Genomic DNA, 22343 nt, shown 5'->3' on the forward strand with positions numbered 1-22343 from the left:
CCTCACCTAAAATACTCTTTCCTCAGCCACCTTCTAAATCCTACCACATTCCAGTTTCCCAGTGAACCGCCTTTGATGCCTCCAGCCCTCCCTGAGTCTCCTCTGCTCTGAACTCCTGCAGCCCTTGGAGCCATAGAATCCCACTCCACAACAGCACTCAGCATCTGCTTCCACATTTCATGACCTCACCAGGCAGCCTGAATCATTCTGAAATAGTTCTATGACAATTTCTGTGGAGCCCAGATCTTCCACGCTTTGGTTAGGGCCCAGGACTTTCCTCTGGAGGTAGCTAGAATAAGTGTAACCCTTCCGCCACAAGAATCAAATATCTGAAGGCCAAAAAACCCTAATTCATTCAGTCATTTCTCACATGACCAAACTCCCAGCTCCCTAATCATCTTGTTGTCTTCATTTATTTCGCAGTGGATTCCATATTTTTATTAATACAACATCAGGGTGCATTAGTGTTTACGTTGGCCACGTTGCTCTACTGCAGACCCATCCTGAACTTGCAGATAACTAAAATATCTAAGTCCTCTTTTCCCCTCATAGAGTGCTATTAAACCATTTTTCCCCTCATCAGGACTTCAAGAGCTGATTTTTACTTAAATGGGGGATTTTGCATTTATCTCCAGTAAATTTCATTTCACTGCTTTTATCTGTTCTTCCCATCTGCCAAGATCTTTAGACTTCAGATCCAGACATCTCACACATTAACTATCCCCACAGCTTTGCATCCATTGCCAAACACCATCTATTTTGGTGATGAGTATGCGTTTTCACATGAGTCCATCTTGCCTCTCCAACTGCACCTCAGGGAAATAGACTATGGGCTTTGGAGTCAGGCATTTAGAGTAAAATCCTTGCCCCACCCCTTAGCAAGTTACTACACTTCTCTGAACCTCAGTTTCTTTGTCTGTAAAATGGACACAGTAATACATGCCTCAGGTTGTTGTATTAAGTGAAACAATATGTATATAAGGCCAGTAGCAGAGTGTATAGCATTTAGTAACTGCTTAGTATTAATCATTATTATCCTAAGTTCTTTAAGGACCATGATGATATCATATACTTCCTCCTCAAATTTAAAAGATCGCTGAGCATAAAGTAGGTGTTCAATGAAGATTAATTTGTTGAAATATATTTGGCCTTTTGGGAAATAACACCAATCCCTTCAGGCATCTAGAGGAAGTCTTTGCAGTACTCACAGAAACATCCTTTTTCTGCTGTGCATCTTAATCGAAGAACTTATCAAACTCTAAAAAGAGGCTGGGTGTGGCTGGGCATGGTGGCTCATGCCTGTAATCCCAGCACTTTGGGAGGCCAAGGTGCGCAGATCACCTGAGGTCAGGAGTTTGAGACCAGCCTGGCCAACATGGTGAAACCCTGTCTCTACTAAAAATACAAAAAAAAGTAGCTGGGCATGGTAGCGGGTGCCTGTAATCCCAGCTACTCGGGAGCCTGAGGCAGAAGAATCACTTGAACCCAGGAGGCGGAGGTTGCAGTGAGCTGAGATCACGCCATTGCACTCCAGCCTGGGTGACAAGAGCGAAACTCCACCCCCCCACCCCCCAAAAAAAGAGGCCAGGCGTGATGGCTCATGCCTGTAATCCCAGCACTCTCCGAGGTTGAGGCAGGAGGATTGCTTGAGCCCAGGATTTCGAGACCAGCCTGAGCAACATGGTGAAACCCTGTCTCTACAAAAAATACAAAATTTAGCTGGGCAGTGGTGGCACGTGCCTGTGGTCCCAGCTACTCAGGAGACTGACATGGGAGAATCATTTGAGCCCAGGAGGTTGAGGCTGCAGTGAGCTGTGATGGTGTCACTCCAGCCTGGGTGACACAGCAAGGCCCTGTCTCAAATAATAATAAAAAAAGAACTCTAAAGAAACGGTACTGAGTGTGTTTATTGAGGGCCTGACCTGCAACGGCTGTGTAAGAGCGTTACCCAACATTTGAAACACTCTGTCTCCAGAAAGCAGATCAAACCGGTTATCTCAAACTGCATCCGCACACTTAACACATGCTCATTTGACTTTTGCCTGACATTCCACTTCTGCAATTCAGGGTCTTTTAGAAAGTTTTACGGGGGAAGCCAAATTCTGGAAGACGCTTCTGCCTCAGCTTCAATAAAAACAGCATAAAATGCCCTGTGAGGGTGAGGACTCCACAGGGAACTTCTAGCAGTGCAGCTGCTGTGGCCACCTCCCCCTCAACCTCCTCACCAGAACCTGCAAGGAAGTGACTGTATTCCTGCTCCCCATCTCAGAGCACAGCTTACAATACTGCCCCTTGTCCTAAGCGCTTAAGCATTATGCCAGGGTTAGTGATAAATGTTATCACATACTGAACAAACCAAAGCATATGTACACCTCTACTCCTCATAAACTCGCTCTGCAGAGCCAACCTGAAAGAATGAATTCAGCAATTCAGTTATTCTAGTAAAACCGCGATGTATTTTTTTCCCAACAGATGCTGTCAGAAAGACACCGGTTTGGCAACGTGACTGGCTTCTTGCCACTGCTGAGAAAGCTGACATCAAGATAAAACCGGCCTTCACTTCCCCATGCTGGACCTCTTTCCTAACAGACTGTGGCAAAAGGAAATGCTTAAACACTCCAGCAGCATCTTTAGAGGCTGGCTCTAAAAGCGGAGTTTGGATATTTACCAGAAACATGCAAACTGCTGTGGAAAAGGAACGGAAAGAGCTGCTGACCATCATTTCTAGATAAGAACTGTACACTTCTAGACAACACAAACCTTAACACACAACAGGCATGCATTACAAATTTAATGAACCACAAATTCAAATTCAGCTGGTGTTTACTGAGTGCTAGGCAGGTATTTGAATCCCTCTGAGGCCAGGTGATGTTACAACGCTCCTAAGTGGCAGAGATGAAGTCTAAATTCTGACTCTGCACTGCCTTTTCCACTACATCACGATGGCCCTATGGAATTCAGTCTATTCAAGGAGGGCAGCAGAAGCGGTAAACGTCACCCACGCTTTGAATACCTGGGCAACAAGGTAACCAACCACACATGTCCCTGAGGTCATAGCCAGGCGGTAGGTTGGCAAGCAGTGTCTGTCTGTTTCACTTAGAGGAAAGGAGTCTGAAGCAAAACCATTTTAATCCTGTGCATTTTGTCATGTACAATAAAATACAGTAAAAGCAAAAAGAATCTATAAACTTACGGTATACTTTCTCCTTCCCACTTAATACCACTCTCTGTAATTATTTCTGAAAGGACATAATGCATTTCAGGATACAATTTATCTGAGAAGTGAAACATGAAACGACCACGCTGGACAGCAGCACACACAACAGAATGCTTCTTGATTCCTACTGAGACCAATTATCAGGGCAGCATATTTTCCTCTCAGTGTGTGGGGAGTCACACATGTTCATTTTCAAAAACAAAGAGGAGACTATGCCTGGAGACCACTGATGCCTTTCTTAAGGACGGGGGAATGCATACATGAAAAAGGATTCAAGCACATTCTGCCCCCACTAAAAACAACTGAAAATATAATGGGAACCTTTTGGCTAAGAAAAAAACAAAAACCAAAAAAAAAAACCATCCTCTGTGTTCAACCCTCAATCTAACTTTCTATCCAGAATTTATCCAGGTCACCAGATAAACTGACAACCACTGAGGTGTTATAACCAGAAATAAAAACTGTGCTGGTGGAAAGGAAACTACAATGAAGAAAGATGCTAAGCCAATAGTTACACTGTCTTGTAATGTCAGGGTTTGTGGAGCTGAGTACAACTTTCCTTTTGAGCAAAACATGAAACAAGCAGATTGTTTCTGGAGATTGGAAAAGATGAAGGGCCCTTTGAAGTGCAAATGGCAACGAAGCCTTTAATTAAAACTATCCCTTAATATTAAAACAACAAAAATTTGCCTATCGGATTGGCAAAATTTGAAAAGAATGCAAATACTCAGTGTGGCAAGAGTGTGTGGAAATGGGGCACCCTTGTATACTATACTGTTGGTGGGAATACAAATATTTTCAGTGTCTGAAAAGCAATTTAGAAAATCAATTATCAAAATAATTTCACACAAATATCAAATAGAATAGTATTTTATTATACATGAGGTTTATTCCTCATGTATCCATAACTCAGCTCAACAATTATCAATTCATGGCCAATCAACATCTTTTCTTTTAAGAGACAAAATGTCTGTCTGGAGTGCAGAGTGGCTTAATCAGCTCATGGCAGCCTCAACCTCCCAGGCTCAAGTGATCTTCCCACCTCAGCCTCCCGAGTAGCTGAGATTACAGACACGTGCCACCATGCCTGGCTAATTTTTTTAGTTTTTGTACATACAGGGGTCTTCACTATGTTGCCTAGGCTGGTCTTTAACTCCTGGGCTCAAGTGGTCCTCCTGTCTCGGGGATCCCAAAGTGCTGGGATTATAGATGTGATTCGCCGTGCCTGGCCAATTCATGGCCAATCTTATTTCAACTAATCTCCTACCTACTTCCTCCCTCATTGGGAGAAGCAAAACCAAGACATTATACATTTTCATCTGTAAATAGTTGAGTACAATGAAATGACTTTTAGATTGCATATCTTATACCTAAAATATTAAAATTAGTCTTTTTTTTTTTTGAGACAGAGTCTCACTCTTATCGCCCAAGCTGGAGTGCAATGGCACGATCTCAGCTCACTGCAACCTCCGCCTCCCAGGTTCAAGCGATTCTCCTGCCTCAGCCTCCTGAGTACTCAGCTAGGATTACAGGTGCCCACCACCATGCCCAACTAATTTTTGTATTTTTAGTTGAGATGGAGTTTCACTATGTTGGCCAGGCTGGTATCAAACTCCTGATCTCAGGTGATCCGCCCACCTTGGCTTCCCAAAGTGCTGGGATAACAGGCATGATCCACTGCACCCAGCCGTCATTTCTGTGTGTTTTGTGTTTTGTTTTGTTTTTACACGGAGTCTTGCTGTGTTGCCAGGCTGGAGTGCAGTGGTGTGATCTCGGCTCACTGCAACCTCCAACTCCCTGGTTCAAGCGATTCTCCTGCCTCAGCCTCCCGAGTAGCTGGGATTACAGGCATGCGCCACCACGCCCAGCTAATTTTTGTATTTTTAGTAGAGACAGGGTTTCACCATGTTGGCCAGGCTGGTCTCGAACTCCTGGCCTCAAGTGATCTGCCTGCCTCAGCCTCCCAAAGTGTTGGGATTACAGGTGCCTGGCCAGAAAACATGTTTTTTAAGAGAAAACATATTATAAGTCCATATTCATATTCCAATTCAAATTTAGAATTCTGGGTTTTTATTTCATTGGTTTGGTTTTTATATTTGTATGTTTTTCCACTTTTACAAAAAATTTGGTTCTTAACTTAAAATACAAATATCTTCTGTCTCTACCATTTGTCTTTGGGGTATTTATCCTAAGGAAATAATCTGATATGATGTCCATGACAGCATTCTTTATAGTAGCAAAAAAAAAAAAAAAAAAAGGAAATAATCTACATGTAAAATAATAAATGAAGTATATAATAGTATATCCTAATATATAAAAATATATATATTATATATATATAATCCATTGCTTGCTTGATGGAATCAATAAGTATTTACAGAAATGAGGTTGGTTTGGGTCAAGAATATACCTAAGTATTATAAAAAATTATTAAAATAAATAACAATTCTCATTTAAGTTCAAAGACCCCATTACATTGCCGTTCACTGCCAGTCATGAATGAATTTAACCCCAACTTATACAAAAAAGGCTCCTAACAAACTTCTCTATATTTCAGATGATATGAATATAACTAGGGTTCATTTTCTAAATTTTAAAATAGAAGCATACAAATCTTCTACCAAGAAATAAAAAAGCAGAAAGTGCTTCTTCTTTTAAATTTTAATTTAATTTATTTATTTTTTTTTTTTTTGAGATGGAGTCTTGCTCTATCACCCAGGCTGGAGTGCAGTGGCACAATCTTGGCTCACTGCAACCTCCACCTCCCAGGTTGAAGTGATTCTTGTGCCTCAGGCTCCCAAGTAACTGGGATTACAGGCACCCGCCACCATGCCTGGCTAAGTTTTTTGTATTTTTAGTAGAGACAGGGTTTCACCATGTTGGCCAGGCTGGTCTCGAACTCCTGACCTCAATTGATCCGCCCACCTCAGCCTCTGAAAGTGCTGGGATTACACGTGTGAGCCATCATGCCTGGCCAGAAAGTGCTTCTTAATGAGAATAATTTAATTATTAATCAGTCATGGCACTCAGTAATATAGACAAATTACAGTCACACTACCTGACATGAAAGTAAACCTATTTGGTTTTTGTTTATTTATTTTTGAGACAGGGCCTTACTCTGCCACCCAGGCTGGAGTGCAGTAGTGCAATCAAAGCTCACTGCAGCCTTGAACATCTGAGTTTAAGGGATCCTCCCACCTTAGCCTCCCAAGTAGCTGGAACCACAGGTGTGCACCACCACACCTGGCTAATTTTTAAATTTTTTGCAGAGATGGGGTCTCACTATATTGCCCAGTCTGGTCTCAAACGATTCTCCCACCTCAGCCTCCCAAAGTGCTGGGATTATAGGCATGAGCCTCTGTGCCCAGCTGCTTCCACACCTTCTTTATCACTTTCACATTCTTGCAGGAAATAAGGAGGAAGTCATCAAAGCCAAGTAGGATATATCAGAAATGAAGGTAATGGGAAAGAAATGTTTTAAAAGAAAACCAAGAAGAACTCAAATTTTTAGAAGCTGGCATGAGGAAAATTGGAACCAAATTTATATGTAATTTAAGCAAGAATTTTTTTTCAGTATTTAAAAATAGAGCAAGTACAAAAGCTATATCAATTTCCAAAAAAAGAGACACTTTTAAACCTCATGATTATTCTTTGGTACTTGAACAAATACCCTGTTTATATGCTTATTTTAAAAAATTTCTCTGACAAATCACTTTCTATTATCAGATTATTCCAGTATATACTTATTGAAATATGTTAATATTATGTTGCATTTTGCTTTGTTTTCATTAAAGGAGCTGGAGAACATTCTTAGTACATGAGAAACAAACATCCAGAGATGGTGCAGTGCAAAGGGATGGGGCATTCCAGGCGCAGTGGCATTCACAGTGTTATCCCCAAACAAGAAAAAGGCAGTTCGTTACCTGCTGAGCTGTAGCATCCTGTTGGACATAAGCTACCTGGCCGGGGTCTGTAAACAGAGTCTAAACAAACAAACGAACAAAAAATTATCAGTAGCTCTTTGGATAGCCTGCCTACACAGAAAAATTATCCTACTGCTAAGCACCAATTTTTAGAAAAGTTAACTCCCATTTTAGCCAGTAATAAGCTTTCATTAATACAGAAAATAAAGATAGTAATCTTAAATTTAGCTAAAGCTTTTCATTCACATGGCTCCAAAGAGATTGTATAAGCTAACCATCCCAATGGCTAACATACTTCGCAATTTTACTCGTAAGCAAAGCCTTTCTTGGGACTGAATGTCACAGTTAATTAAAAAGGCATCTCATGAAAACACAAGAGACATGACATGAACAAGGGTTCACAGGTTCACACATAACACTGCTCACGGGAGTAGACTTGTGATGAAATGAAAATGGATGGAGATAGACAGGCATCTAGAAGAGGATTACATACCCAAGGATTACAGCTATTTCAAATGTAAGTGCATGTTTATTATCAGAAGAGAAGTAGAAGGAAAATAAATTGAACTTAATGTTCCATGAGTTCTTTTCTACATAGTCAGTAAAGTCATAATTAAAAAAAAAAATTAATCATCATAAACTAAGTTGGCTCATGATGCAGCAAAGCTAACTAGAGAAAATTCTTCGAAACTACTGTAGCCAGGGCACCACAGTTAATATCTCTAATCCAGAAAAATGTCAAAATGTCCTTTCTTCTAAAGTTTTTAAAAATCTGGCTGGGCGCGGTGACTCACGCCTGTAATCCCAGCACTTTGGGAGGCCAAGGCAGGCGGATCACCTGAGGTCAGGAGATCGAGACCTGGCCAACATGGCAAAACACCATCTCTACTAAAAATACGAAAATTAGCTTGTTGTGGTGGTGGGTGCCTGTAATCCCAGTTGCTTGGGAGGCTGAGACAGGAGAATCACTTGAACCCGGGAGGTAGAGGTTGCAGTGAGCTGAGATTGTGCCACTGCATTCCAGCCTAGGAGACAGAGCAAGACTCTGTCTCAAAAAAAATAAAAAATAAGTAAACAAAATAAAAATTATCCAAATTCAGACATTTAGTAACATTGTAATAAACTGAAAGTTGGTCACAGGACATTCTTATATAAACTAATCTTATTTTAATATAGGCAGGGGTATTCCAAAAGTACCACTAAGTCTTCAGTGATTTCATACTTATGTAGATTTGAAAGGCACTAATTAGGCGGGCCTCATTTCTATTTGGGAGTGATCTGAGCCTCTTTATTGAATATCAAATGAGGGCAAATTTTTCTTACCAAGATGCTACTATAAAAGTATGGAATTTAGATGTTAAAGATATACATTTCAAAGTACTTTATACATTGTAAAGTGCTAACAATGTAAATTAACATTTATATGTTGGGGGATATTGGTGTCACTCATTTGGAAGCTATACTGCAAGTCACTGGCAAAAAATAAAATAAAAGCAGCTATAATTGTACGCCTTTTGGCAGTAAACATCTTTGCTTCTAGTACAGCCTTGCAAATCAGTAAGTTATTAAGAAGTGGTAGCTAATAAGCTTAGCAGGACCCTTTCTTACATATTTAGCTGAAATAATCTGTATGTTTTCACAGAGCCATTTTTGGCCTGGTTCTTGATACTTAGGAATAATAAATTCATAACCTAGTCAACTGTAGAGAAGAGCTATATACGAACCCATGCTCTAACTCCTTATTGCATTTAGCGTCAAGAAATAAATCACATCTTCCTCTGCCAAGTTGGTTACAAGCTCCTTGAGAGCACAGATCTTTTTTTTTGAGACAGAGTTTTGCTCTGTCACCCAGGCTGGAGTGCAGTGGCGCGATCTCGGCTCACTGCAACCTCCGCCTCCCAGGTTCAAGCAATTCTCTGCCTCAGCCTCCCACGTAGCTGGGATTACAGGTGCCCACCACCACGCCCAGCTACTTTTTTGTATTTTTAGTAGAGACAGGGTTTCACCCTCTTGGCCAGGCTGGTCTTGAACTCCTGACCTCATGATCCACCTGCCTCGGCCTCCCAAAGTGCTGGGATTACAGGCATGAGCCACCGCGCCTGGCTGAGAGCACAGATCTTATCTGAATACGTACTGCATCACCAGTACCTAGCACAATGACTGACAGAAAGTAAACACAAGTAATTGGTTAATTAGTTAATTGACAAATTATCAACAGATAACCCTTCACATGCCTGTGCAGCTTCCACCGGGTGGATGTACACCAGCGTGTGCTCTGGACCATCCACTGATGTGTAGGAGGCACCATCTGCCGTGTACACCACCTGCTGTGGGGGGCGAACCTGGTCATCGGTATAGACAATCTGAGCCACTGTTCCTGTGTCCGGAACAAAGTGCACCTGGCATAAACAGGAGACAAAGAACAAAATCAGTATCAGGAAGGTAAGTGATCAACAAGCACACCTGGGTTTCTAAAAGATCCCCAATGACAGGAGAATGGGGATGGATACACCTTTGTCTACACCGAGGTGGTGACTAGGGGAGGATGCAAGGACCTTGTCATTGATTTACTGCTAAATGTTAGGCAACCGACTTAAATTCCCCTTTGCCTCAAATGGCCAATGCAGATAACTCTTTTGGGGAGTAATAAGGGCGTGGTTAATTGATCCTGGAAACGACACTGAAGATTCCTGCCTGACAACACTATCAGAATAAAACATACAAATTACTCTGTGGTGTGAAAAAATACGTCAAGACTCAAAAGCCAATTGCTGTCAACACATCATAAGAATTCTATTTTATAACTAATAGTGTCTTTCAGCAGACACATTAAAATAAGGTCACTTTTGGCTAGGCGTGGTGGTTCACACCTGTAATCCCAGCACTTTGGGAGGCCGAGGCAGGTGGATTACCTGAGGTCAGGAGTTCAGGACCAGCCTGGCCAACATGGTGAAACCCTGTCTCTACTAAAAAAATACAAAAATTAGCTGGGCATGGTGGGGGGCGCCTGTAATCCCAGCTACTCAGGAGGCTGAGACAGGAGAATTGCTTGAACCTGGGAGGCAGAGGTTGCAGTGAGCCGAGATCGCACCGTTGCACTCCAGCCTGGGTGAGAAGAGTGAAACTCCATCTCAAAAATAAAATAAAATAAAATCAGGTCACTTTCTTTCCTGCAAGTTGTTTCATACACAAAGGACATACTGGAGGCATATCAGTAAATGCTTGCTGAATCAATGAATGGAATAGAACTCTTCCTTGCCGGGTAGGTGAAGACACAGAAAATTCTAATAAAGTACTTTTAGGGGGTTCTGGACAACTATTTCAGCTGTCACCAGGGTAAATAATTTTCTCCCAAGACCTAAAGAACTAAAGCAGAAATGAAGTTTTGTAAAACACTTTCTGAGTGGTCAGCTTTGGAGGATTGAATTCTTGAAGGCCTGAGCTTGGCACATGGCCTGATGCCTGATATTGAAGGTCTGGAAGCAGATGGCCCAAGAACACATTTGGGAGAGAAATAATGTATGTGTTGCTATCGAAGTCACGCACTCTTAGGGTGGAATCCTTGCTCTTATACTGCCTTGGCTTTGGACCTAACTTTTTAATGTCAGTTTTCTCTAGTGAAGGATAGTAGATCCCCAAGATAATATAAACTAATTTAATCCCCAGAAGGAAACCTAAGAGACAAAATGTAATCAAACACCACAGAAATACAACAAACTTCCACCTCTACACGAAATGATTAGTCTGGCTTCTACATAAATTTGATTTGTCTGGAAGATAAAGTTTGTCTATTGGAAAAATTAGGCTCATATTTAAGCAGGCTTAATTGCTATAAGACAATTTTGTGACTTTCGATTTGTTCATTAACATCAAAGCCTTGAACTAGTTTCAGTGCTTAAGAAGGGAAAACATGTTTCCTCCAGACAAGCTATCCAAGCTTTTCTGCTTGGTCTTCATCATTCATTAAATCAGAATTCCCAGCTGGCGGAAGAACCAGTTGGGAGGAAGGAGTGCCACAGGGACCCTGACCTTGGCTATCTACTATCTGGTTACCCACAGACAGGGCCCTGGTCATGCAGTGTCACAACCAGATTTTCTTTTGTTTTGCTTTTTAATGAACTACAATTTTATTTATAAATAAGATATACCAAAATACATAGCTGCATGGAAATGACCTCAAAATGATTTCCAGGAGAAACAAAACAGAATTCTCATATACTCTGCTGAAACATCAGTGGAACTTTTTTAAGTAATCAGACTAAGACTTTATTTATTTTTATTTTTAGTGACAGGGTCTCATTCTGTCACCCAGGCTAGAGTGTAGTGGTGCAGTCATGGTTCACTGCAGCCTCCACCTCCTAGAGACATGACCGCACCACTATAGGCATGCACCACCATGTCCGGCTAATTTTTCTTTTTTTTTTTTTTTGGTAGAGTCAGGGCCTCACTTTGTTGCCCAGGCTGGTCCTAAACTCCTGGACTGAATCGAGCCTCCTGCCTTGCCCTCCCAAACTGCTGGGAATGGCATGAACCACCATATTTGGTCCATACTGAGACTTTTTAATCATACCAGATAACCAATTTTATTTATTGTATATTTATTATATTGCTTAAATTAAATAGAATCTGCATACTTAAATGTTTCAATGTAACTTCTTGATTTTGATACTGGTACTATGGTTATGTAATTTAATGAAACATTACACGTGTATGTTTACTACAATGTTTAAAAATTAAGTTTTATACTTTGGTCACACATAAAACATGGCTCCATATGACTGCTAATCATCCCAAATTCAATTCCATACCAAAAATGCAGAGATTTGCCTTCGCTAAGAACAGCCAAAATAACATGTGGTTGGTTCTAGCAGCAATCTGAAAGGCAAAGGTCATCGATGACAGCAGCATTTGGTCAAGTGACTAACCTCTAAAGTGGCTGACTCATAATGGAACAACTTTGACTTAGAGGTTTACATTCTGAATTTAAAAAGAAAAGAAAAGGCCACTCACTTTATAGACATACCTGTACTCATTACACACAAAGGACCAAACTACTATGGATAACGTAAAAGAAACAAACTATAGTTTGAGGTTTTCAGCAGCAATAACATAAATAAAGCGGGGTAGTAAAACAGATTATGACAGTAAATTGCAGACAAGGCGGAGAAGCCTATAGCTGGTGGTCTAGCTCTCCTAACTCACGGTGAGCCACATCGATGGAGCATTCAAGGGGCCAAAACAGTCCCTATTCCTTGTGTACGAGTTCTTCATGTCGGCTCCTAACGACTAGTCACTACTAGATAGCAGCTGTATTTCTTTGCTGTCAGCAAACTGAGTCCAGCTGAAAACCTCTCAATACCAAGCTGGAAAAGACCAGTCTTCACCTGTGCGGCATTCTGTTCATGCTCTGCAGATGTCGGCCACACATGCGAGCTTTCATCTTTGGAATCCATCTTCTCCCAACTGGACAGCTCCACGTCTGGCACACCTAGAGCAGCACAGGGTACAGGACAGTCATCTGTCTACCACACGTGTGTTCATGAAGGACGGAAAGGTCTGTCTGCAGCATGCCTGAGAAAACACAGAAAAGGAACCAAGACTTTCAGTAGATAAATACATTTTAATATATTATAATTTCAACCACAAATAATAAAAGAAAGCTTTGTCAAAAAGCAACACGCCTGGGCAAAAAAATGTAAAAATGAAGACATTATTTGTAATAATAGTATAGGCCAGGTACAGTGACTCACACCTGTAATCGCAGCTCTTTGGGGTTTTTTTGGGGGGGTGAGGGGAGTTGTTTTTGTTTTTGAGATGGAGTCTCGCTCTGTTGCCCAGGCTGGAGTGCAGTGGCACAATCTAGGCTCACTGCAACCTCCGCCTCCTAGGTTTAAGCGATTCTCCTGCCTCAGCCTCCTGAGTAGCTGGGACTACGGGCACGAGCAACCATGCCCAGCTAATTTTTTATATTTTTAGTAGAGATGTGTTTTCACCATGTTGGCCAGGCTGGTCTCAAACTCCTGAGCTCAAGTGATCCACCTGCCTTGGTCTCCCAAAGCGCTGGGATTACAGGCATGAGCCACCACACCCGGCCAATCCCAGCTCTTTGGGAGGCCAAGATGGAAGGATCACCTGAGGCCAGGAGTTTGAGACCAGCCTGGTTAACACGGTGAGACCCCATCTCTATTTAAGAAAAAGAAATTTTAAAAAAATAATAATATAATGTATTGCATGCTTGCTATGTTCTAAACACTCACTGGGGGTGGGTGTGTGTATATATAATATCTTATAAAATTATATATTTTGCATATATATTTGTGTATACATAAATGTGTGCATGTTTGTCTAATGCAATCCTCATTAAAAATATTAGTTCTAATTAAAATTAGTTGTCGTGAGGAGAATGAGTTTCTCAGATGCCAAATGCAGGCTCTTTCCTTGTAGACACTAACTTCCCATACCACCTTTACTCAAAATGAACAGCAGAATAATAAGTCTCAAGATGAGAGGAAGGCGGCAAGTGGAGGGAGCTACATTTTCTGCGTAAAAAATTTGGTGAATGCAAATACAAACTTTTTTTCTCACATGGTCAGTGTTGGAGTGATTAGCGGCCAAATAAAAAGCCTTACTAAACTTTAACATGCACAATACCTGCATCTCAAAATCTTATTCCTTCCCAAAACAGGCTTTTTAAGGTAGTCAGTCTTCCCTTTTGATGATGATAAAATGTTGGTATTTTAAAAGTCCACTTGACATTTGCTGTGTGAACAGGGCAGCAGCCACAATGCCAGAATAAAGACCAAAGAAGAAAGAAAGAGAAGGTACGTGAACTTCGAAAGTCTGTGCCCAACTCTGGAAAAGAGAGGATGCCATGTCCATCTTCTGAGCCATCCAGGTGCCTGTTCCTGCTTTGCCTCAACATTATCATTCTCATCCCCAAGCTGCAGCACCCCCCACCACACTTATTCACCCTGCATGCGCCCTACTCTTCCAATCCCCATTTGGGGGGGACTTGAAAGAATGCCACGTCCACCAACAGGTGAATGTAAGAAGAAAGGAACACAAGGGAACTTCATGGAGAAATGGGAATATCCTGTATCTTGCATCTGAATTGAGGTGGTGGTTACATAAGGAATATGTGTGTCAAAAGCTATCAACCTATTAAGATATGTGAATTTTATTACATTTAAATTATACCCTAATAAAGTTGATTTTTTTTAAAGCATACCTTCCTTATATAGCAGTACTATTTAAAAATATATACAAAGATATTCAGGGTGAGTTTCCTATGGTATATAAACTATATCTCAACAAAGCCATTATTTAAAGAAACAAAAGGTATTAAGAAAGGAATAGGCTGGGTGCAGTGGTTCACACCTGTAATCCCAGCACTTTGGGAGGACAAGGACGACATATCACTTGAGGCCAGGAGTGCAAGACTAGCCTGGGTAACATGGTGAAACCCCATCTCTACAAAAAATACAAAAATTAGCCAGGTGTGGTGGTGTGCACCTGTGGTCCCAGCTTCTTGGGAGTCTGAGGTGGAAGGATCGCTTGAGTCTGGGAGGCGGAGGTTACAGTGAGCCTAGATCACACCACTATACTCCTGCATGGGTCACAGAGTGAGACTCTATCTCAAAAAAAAAAAAAATGAAAGGAATAAATGTCACCAATCATCTAAAGATCTGTAAGAAGAAAACTACAAAATTGTACAAAAGGACATAAAAGGCTCAGTAATTACAAAATCAGAGCCCGGCGTGGTGGCACACACCTGTGGTCCCAGCTACTCAAGAGGCTGAGGGGGAGGATCCCTTGAGCCCAGTTCAAGGTTAGCCAGGGCAACACAGAGAGACCCTGCTGAAAGAAAAAAGAGAGAAGAGAAGAGAAGAGAAGAGAAGAGAAGAGAAGAGAAGAGAAGAGAAGAGAAGAGAAGAGAAGAGAAGAAGTCATAACATGTTCCATGTAGGAAACTTTTTTTTTAAAGTTGTTTATTTTGAAATAACTTCAGACATAAAAGTTGTCAAAATAGTACAAAGAATTCCTGTGTTTCTTCACTCCAGTTCCCTGCATGTTAACATTGTACCATGTTTACTTTACTATTTCCCCTCTTTCTCTTTCTTTCCCTCCCTTTTCTCACTTGAACCATTTGAGAGTAAGTTGCCAACACAATGCCCCTTTCCCCCTAAATTCCTAAGTGCCTAATTCTTAAAAACAAGAAGATTTTCTTATAACCACAGTACTACTATCAAAATGAGGCTGTTAACACGGTAACAGTAATATTACCTAATTCACAGACCTTATTCAAGTTTTGTCAACTCTAATGAATGTCCTTTAAAAAGAATACGACATTTTTTCTCCTGGCCTGGGATGCAATCCGGTACTGCACACAGCACGCTCAGCTGTCCTGCCCTTCAGTCTCCTTCAATCCCAAACGGTTCCCTGCTCTTTCTTGGTCTGCCATGACCTTGACATTTGTGAAATGCACAGGTCATTTATTTTTCAGAATGCTCCTCAATTTAAGTTTGTCTGATGTTTCTTCATGGTTAGATTCAGGATATGTATTTTTAGCAGAGACACCACAGAAGAGATGTGGTGTCCTTCCGATAGAGGAATTTGAGTGGCTTGTTTCCTTCAGCTTGGCTCACTGATGGCACAAATGCGCAGGCGTGTACTATGCTAGGCACTGGGGTGCTGCGGGGATCGGCAGGTACAGCCCATGCCCTCACAAAACACACACAGCCCAGAGAGTCTTTTTGTCTTTGTTTTCATTTCTAGAAAGGTATACTTTATTTCTTCTATTTTAATTTTATTTGTATCTCTTTTAATAGGTAGTAAATGCAGCTGGCTCAAAATTCAAAAGGCACAAAAAGGTATACAGTGGACAATCTCCCTACCTGGAATGCCCTAGCCGTTCCTCAGAAGCAACCTATATTATCAATTTATTGTATTTTCTTCCAAAAATTATTTTGTGTGCATACACACAAGCATACATATATACTCTCTCCCTCTCCAACCACAAATAGATGCACACTACTGATTCCATACAAGGTAGCATTTCTTCTATATCTTGTTTGTCCCATGTAATATCATACCTTTCATATTGTTCCATATATATACAGACATTCCTCATTCTTCATTACAGCTGCATATTTTTAATCTTGCATTCATAAACGCTTAGGTTATTTCTAATATTTTGCAATTACATGTGACACTATGATGAGAACTTTTGGACATACATTGCTTTACAATGTATCTTGCATTTTATGTGTTAGTATCCCACATTTTTTGGAATCTCTGAGGGAAGATACTAGCGCAGTTAAAGTGATTATCTATCATATGTAAAATGGAGATAATTTTATTGTGAGGGTGAAATGATGTATGTAACAACTCTAGGCACAAGGTCTAGTACATAGTAGGTGATTAAATATATCAATTTTCATATTTCACAAACGAGCCATACAGAGCTTCAGAATTTTCAAAACATTTTATACTCTTTAAAAATCTAACAATTTGGCTGGGCGAGGTGGCTCACGCCTGTAATCCCAGCACTTTGAGAGGCCGCAGCGGGCAGATCAGCCTGAGGTCAGCCTGAGGATTTGTCAGCAAGTCAGGAGGCTGAGGATTTTATCAGCAAGACAGGAGTTGCTTGAACGCAAAAGGAAGAGGTTGCAGAGAACCCAGATCGTGCCACTGCACTCCAGCCTGGGCGACACAGCAAGACCCTGTCTCAAAGAAAAAAAAAACGGAAAGAAAGAAAAGAAATCTAACAATACATTCCCTGTACATGAATATCTTTGATAGTAAGGCTTGTCATATTGATTTTCCTTTATTAATTTTCTTTTTAACTCCACAATGTTTACAGCCCTGTTGATTTTGATTTACAGGAGACAGTAGAAGAATCCCAGGGGCAGGAGCCATGTTACTGCTGTCCAGCTGGCAGGTGCTGACAGCTCTGGTAACCAGGGATAGACTCTCACCCCTCATCTTCTTGCGTCTCCTACCGACCTGAGGGAATGGACAGCCACAGCTATACCTTGTCTAGAAAACAGCAGCCATCTTCTGTCCTTTTCCCCCTGTCCCAAAAGAGTTAGAGATTTCATTTCCAGGAAGAGAATGATATGGTTGCATTTCTATTTTCTCTCTAATGATTGACTTTATTCAACAAGTATTTATTAGTACTTGGTATGTGCCAGGCACTGTTCTAGGTCCTTAAGAAACATGTTTATCAAAAAAAAAAATATATATATACAAAAAAAAAGATCCCTGGCTTCTTGCAGCTTCTAGTCTAGTTGTTTTTTTCCTGAACAGCATTGTACAGTATCTAAAGTGTGAACTTTACAATCAGACAAATCTGGGTTCTGAGCTCCCAAATCTTCCATGTACTTAGTTGGGGCGTTAGTAAGCCAAACACTCTGATCCTCAGTATCCTCACTTAAAAATCCAAATTACCAGCCGGGCACAGTGGCTCATACCTGTAATCCCAGCACTTTGAGAGGCTGAGGCGGGCAGATCACTTGAGGTCAGGAGTTCGAGACCAGCCTGGGCAACATGGTGAAACCCCATCTCTACTAAAAATACAAAAATTAGCCAGGCTTGGTGGCGTGTGCCTGTAGTCCCAGCTGCTCGGGAGGCTGAGGCGGGAGAATCGCCTGAACCTGGGAGGTGAATGTTGCAGTGAGCCAAGATCGAGTCACTGCACTCCAGCCTAGGCAACAAGAGGGAGACTCCATCTCAAAACAAACAAACAAACAAATAAAAAATCCAAATTACCTGCCCTGCATGGTTGCTGTAAAAATTAACTACATGTTATGTATTTCATCGAGTCTACAAAGTACGTTCCCCCCATGTTTTAACATTTCTGAAATAGGGATCTATTTTACAATCAGTGGCATCTTGCAGTTACTGTCATCCAGGTGGCAGTCAGGACATAGGGTCACTGCCCACTCATGTGTGATCTCACTTCGAATGAGTCATGTGCACTGTTGACATACTGAGCCTAACTGCCACTTTAAATGTCTTCAAAAAGATGACACGATAACTTGGTATTAAAACCGAAAGACATGGGAACAGTAGCAGGGCATAAATTTTATTAGAGAAGCAAATATCTACCATTGGAAAAATGACCTTAACCAACCGAGGCCCTTACAGAACCTGGGTATAAAAGACAGCCCATGTGGATGAAGCTGCATGATGTGTTGTTATTACTGAGATTCACGGGGAAAAAATGGCCTGAGGTTGAGTGAGAAAACAGCAGGATTAAAATTTGCAGAACAGGTAATAGATGCTTAGAGGAGATTCCTGGAGACAGTGGTGTGCCCTCTGTTAAGAAACGCCACATCAACAACGCTCTTGGTGGCATAGAGAATGATACTGTGTGGAAAACCACCCACATGAAGAACTCCGAGTCCAAAAAGATTCTGAAGAATCAGACTCTTGGAGAAATTTTAGGAATATCTTAGTCAATCTATTTCTCTTTATATTTTCCCTCTTTTGTATGCCAAAGAGTGATATGATAAAAATCAATGTCTAAACGAATCTAGAAGAGCTCTTTCAATAAGTATATAATTAAAATACTAAATGACAGAAAGCACTTGTGAAGCCGGGCGCGGTGGCTCATGCCTGTAATCCCAACACTTTGGGAGGCCGAGGTGGGTGGATCACGAGGTCAGGAGTTCGAGACCAGCCTGGCCAACATGGTGAAACCCCATCTCTACTAAAAAAAATACAAAAATTAGCTGGCGTGGTGGCATGCACCTGTAATCCCAGCTACTCAGGAGGCTGAGGCAGGAGAACTGCTTGAACCAGAGAGGCGGAGGTTGCAGTGAGCTGAGGTTGCGCCACTGCACTCCAGCATGGGTGACAGAGTGAGACTCCATCTCAAAAAACAAAAAAATAAACAAAAAAACCCACTTGTGTCAGAAGTACAATTGGCAAGATTTTTTCTTTCTTACTAATGTGTAAAATCACTGTGTATCTTACCATCAACATCTTAGGCTCAATAAAATATGGCAATATTTGTGATCACATAACAACGATGAACATTCAAGAAAGGGTAGCAATTTTTTTCATGCTTGGTGAACATCAAACACATTTTTTAGTACATGGCAAGCACTGGGGAGAAAAAGGTGAGCAAAAATCTCTGCTCCCAGAGAACTCACAATCTAGTTGGAGAGATGACACCCCACTTTGCAGCTCACCCCATGGCGACACTTGCAGGGTGAGAGTGACAGTGATGAAGAGTGAGGGGAATTAGGAAGGAAGGATAAACCCCTACTTTTCCAGCTAGTTCAGCGATAAGGCTGGGCAGGCGCCAGACAATGGAGTATCCCAGTGTGCCAGCCTCCACCATCACCTGCCCTCCTAGGAGTCCTGAGTTCCCATCATGCCCTTCACCCCACAGCCCTACCCACTCACCATCCACCAGCCTCCCCGACAACATCACTAAGCCCTTCTCAGCTAAACCCAACATCCAGAACTCCCAGGGACTTAGGATGCAGGAGCTCCTGCCTTCATCAGCTGCACACAGAGGTGGAGGAAGAGGCCCAGATTCAGCTTCAAAGGTAGATGAGTACCTGGAATCCCAGGCTGAACTACAAACACAATTTCACTTAAAATGTTGTGACACACAGTGGTTAAGTTCCACAGCACTGTTGGTACATTATTAACCTCAGACACATTAAGAAGCAACAAAGGTTTCTGTACTGGCCTCGCACCTCAAATGCCAGACACGTCATTATTGATATGGAAAGAAGTGTACCACATTCCAGACAATGCACTTACAAATAAACTTTTCCGGCTCATTATGAACTAACTAGCACAAACTGTGGGCTCTCTCCCTGAAATCCAACTCTAGACATGCTATGGAAAGAAGTTATAGGGAGACTGATGAGCCTGCAAGATGAACATAAAAACTGAGGACAAAAACGGAGGAGGGTGAGTGCCAGTCTGGGGAGGGGGTTGTGGATGGGACCAGGGAACAGCCCAGACAGACGGGGACCAGGTTCCACAGAAGAGAGGGGGTGGTGGAAGCAGAATTTTTCTGTTGTTCTCTCTCTGATATTACCCTGAGCTCCCGCCACCCACCCCGCAATCCTACCCCCTCACTACCCACCAGCCTCATTCCTAACATCACTAAGCCCTTCTCAGCTAAAGCCAACATCCAGAACCCCCCAGGACGTAGGACTCAGGAGCCTAGTGTGCCAGCCTCCACCATCGCCTGCCCTCCTAGGAGCCCTGAGTTCCCATTGTGCCGTTCACCCCACAGCCCTACCCACTCACCATCCCCCTGCTGGGGTAAAATGTGGCAAAAATTAAGCAATATCTGCTGATGCACCCATCGACACTGCAATATAGAAACATAGCAAACGATGAGTGCAAAAAATCAAATCATAACAACATCAAAAAAATTAACACAGCAGCCAGCTCTGTGCTGCCTGGCAGTGGAAAAACCTCAAGGCAGCAAAAAAGGCTGGGTAGGGTGTAAATAGCAGATGCCAGGAGGCTGGCAAGGTGCTGGGCACTCTCCTGCCACACACTCCCCCGCTGCACAGCTAGCAAAAACATATGTTCAGACAGGAAGCTTCCTCTAGGGGAAAAGGCTTAGCTGACCCAGAGACTCTGGCCTGATACACAAGCAATTGCTCATTTTTAAAAATTTAATATTTCACCTTTCTTTCAACGAATATACACTAGCTATATGATGATTTTTGCTGACCCAAGCATAAAAAGAGTATTCTTCAGGAATATTTATATAGCAATTAGTCTCCATTTAAAGAAATGATACTTGGGCTTGGTTTAAGTGAGTTACCATAAATACTACAGGCCTTGGGCTGGATTTGCACATATTTGTATTAGAGTCGTCTTTGGAATCAGACAGCCTAGCTCCAAAGCTTGGATTTACCACTTACAGCTTTTGGCAATTTGCTTAATCTCTCTGAGCTCCACCTTCTTCATATATAAAGATAAAGAACTAAGAATATTAGATATTTAACAAATAGGAAGGCCTGGCACAGTGGCTCATGCCTGTAATCCCAGCACTTTGGGAGGCCAAGGTGGGCGGATCACTTGAGGAGAGTAGTTCGAGACCAGCCTGGCCAACATAGTGAAACCCCATCTCTACTAGAAATACAAAAAAAAAAAAAAAAAATTAGCCGGGCGTGGTGGTGCGTGCCTGTAATCCCAGCTACCCAGGAGGCTGAGACACAAGAATCACTTGAACCCGGAAGGCAGAGGTTGCAGTGAGCTGAGATTGTGCCACCACACTCCAGCCTGGGTGACAGAGTGAGACCCTGTCTCAAAAAACAAAAACAAAAACAATACAATGGTAAATTGTGCATAACACAAAACACCTGTATGTCAAGAAACAGAAAACACACCTTCTAAACTCATACTTAAGATTAGATTCTACCTGGTAACTAAAAAAGTAAGTGATTTTACTCTGTGTATAGAGAAAACACATCTTAAGATACTGAGTTATAAAAAAGAGGAAGAAAGATAATAGGAAATCAAATTCTATGGCATAGAATAACGGAACTAATTTCAGAATTAGAAGAGAAATTCTAGGCCCACAGTTCTGAAATATGTTCAGATGACAAGGACCCTGAAGACATAGCACCATGAAATATTAATAGCTGACATGTTATGTTATAATAGCATTTGTTATGAACCAGGCATGTTCCCTAAAAAGGAAGGGAACTCTGGCACATGCTTCAACAGGGAGGAATCTTGAGGACGTTACACTAACCACACATATTGGTTCATTTAATCCTCACAATAACTTCTGAAGTAGGCACATTATATCTCTACTTTACAAGTGATGGATGGAGACAGAAAGAGGCGAAGCGACTTTGCCTGGGTAACAGAGCTAGGAAGCAGAGGAGCTACAATGTAACCTGGGCACGAGGCCGCCTAGCCCACATGCTCAGCCACAAATCTACACTGCTTCTCTTCCCACAAACTAAGAACACTGGACCCTGCATGATGATTCCAGTATAAATGACTCCACTAATGAACCATGTAACAATCATACCCAACCTTTTTTTTTTTTTTTCTCGAGATGGAGTTTCGCTTGTTGCCCAGGATGGAGTGCAGTGGCACGATCTCAGCTCACTGCAACCTCCGCCTCTTGGGTTTAGGGGACTCTCCTGCCTCAGCCTCCTGAGTAGCTGGGATTATAGGTGTCCACCACCATGCCTGGGTAACTT

General features: G+C 41.8%; 1 protein-coding gene across 13 annotated transcripts in view, besides 2 other annotated features; it reads right to left on the minus strand.

The window, feature by feature from the left end:
* The window catches only part of PRDM10 (PR/SET domain 10), a 103125-nt gene that overhangs the window by 48661 nt on the left and 32121 nt on the right, over positions 1-22343 (minus strand). For 9 of the 13 annotated variants that reach the window (NM_001367892.1, NM_001367894.1, NM_001367890.1 and 6 more), the window contains exons 2-4: positions 12525-12711; positions 9375-9539; positions 7141-7200 (exon numbers count right to left, since the gene is read on the minus strand). In NM_001367892.1, coding sequence (NP_001354821.1) covers positions 7141-7200; positions 9375-9539; positions 12525-12593 — 294 coding nt within the window. In that variant the 5' untranslated portion in view covers positions 12594-12711. Of the gene's footprint in view, positions 1-3193; positions 3276-7140; positions 7201-7633; positions 7660-9374; positions 9540-12524; positions 12712-22343 lie in introns of those variants that run through there. The other 4 variants (NM_001367896.1, NM_001367897.1, NM_001367891.1 and 1 more) reach the window with 3 other exon arrangements.
* Positions 16849-17049: a silencer, noted in NCBI's record as "peak1509 fragment used in MPRA reporter construct". NCBI's record gives its function as "represses an SCP1 promoter by STARR-seq MPRAs in K562 erythroleukemia cells {active_cell/tissue: K562}" and the evidence as "EXISTENCE:reporter gene assay evidence [ECO:0000049][PMID:32103011]".
* Positions 17923-18217: an enhancer, noted in NCBI's record as "tiled region #3666; K562 Activating DNase unmatched - State 8:EnhW". NCBI's record gives its function as "activates a minimal TATA promoter and a strong SV40 promoter by Sharpr-MPRA in K562 cells {active_cell/tissue: K562}" and the evidence as "EXISTENCE:reporter gene assay evidence [ECO:0000049][PMID:27701403]".

The sequence above is a fragment of the Homo sapiens genome, chromosome 11, assembly GCF_000001405.40.
Source record: "Homo sapiens chromosome 11, GRCh38.p14 Primary Assembly".
NCBI lineage: Eukaryota > Metazoa > Chordata > Mammalia > Primates > Hominidae > Homo > Homo sapiens.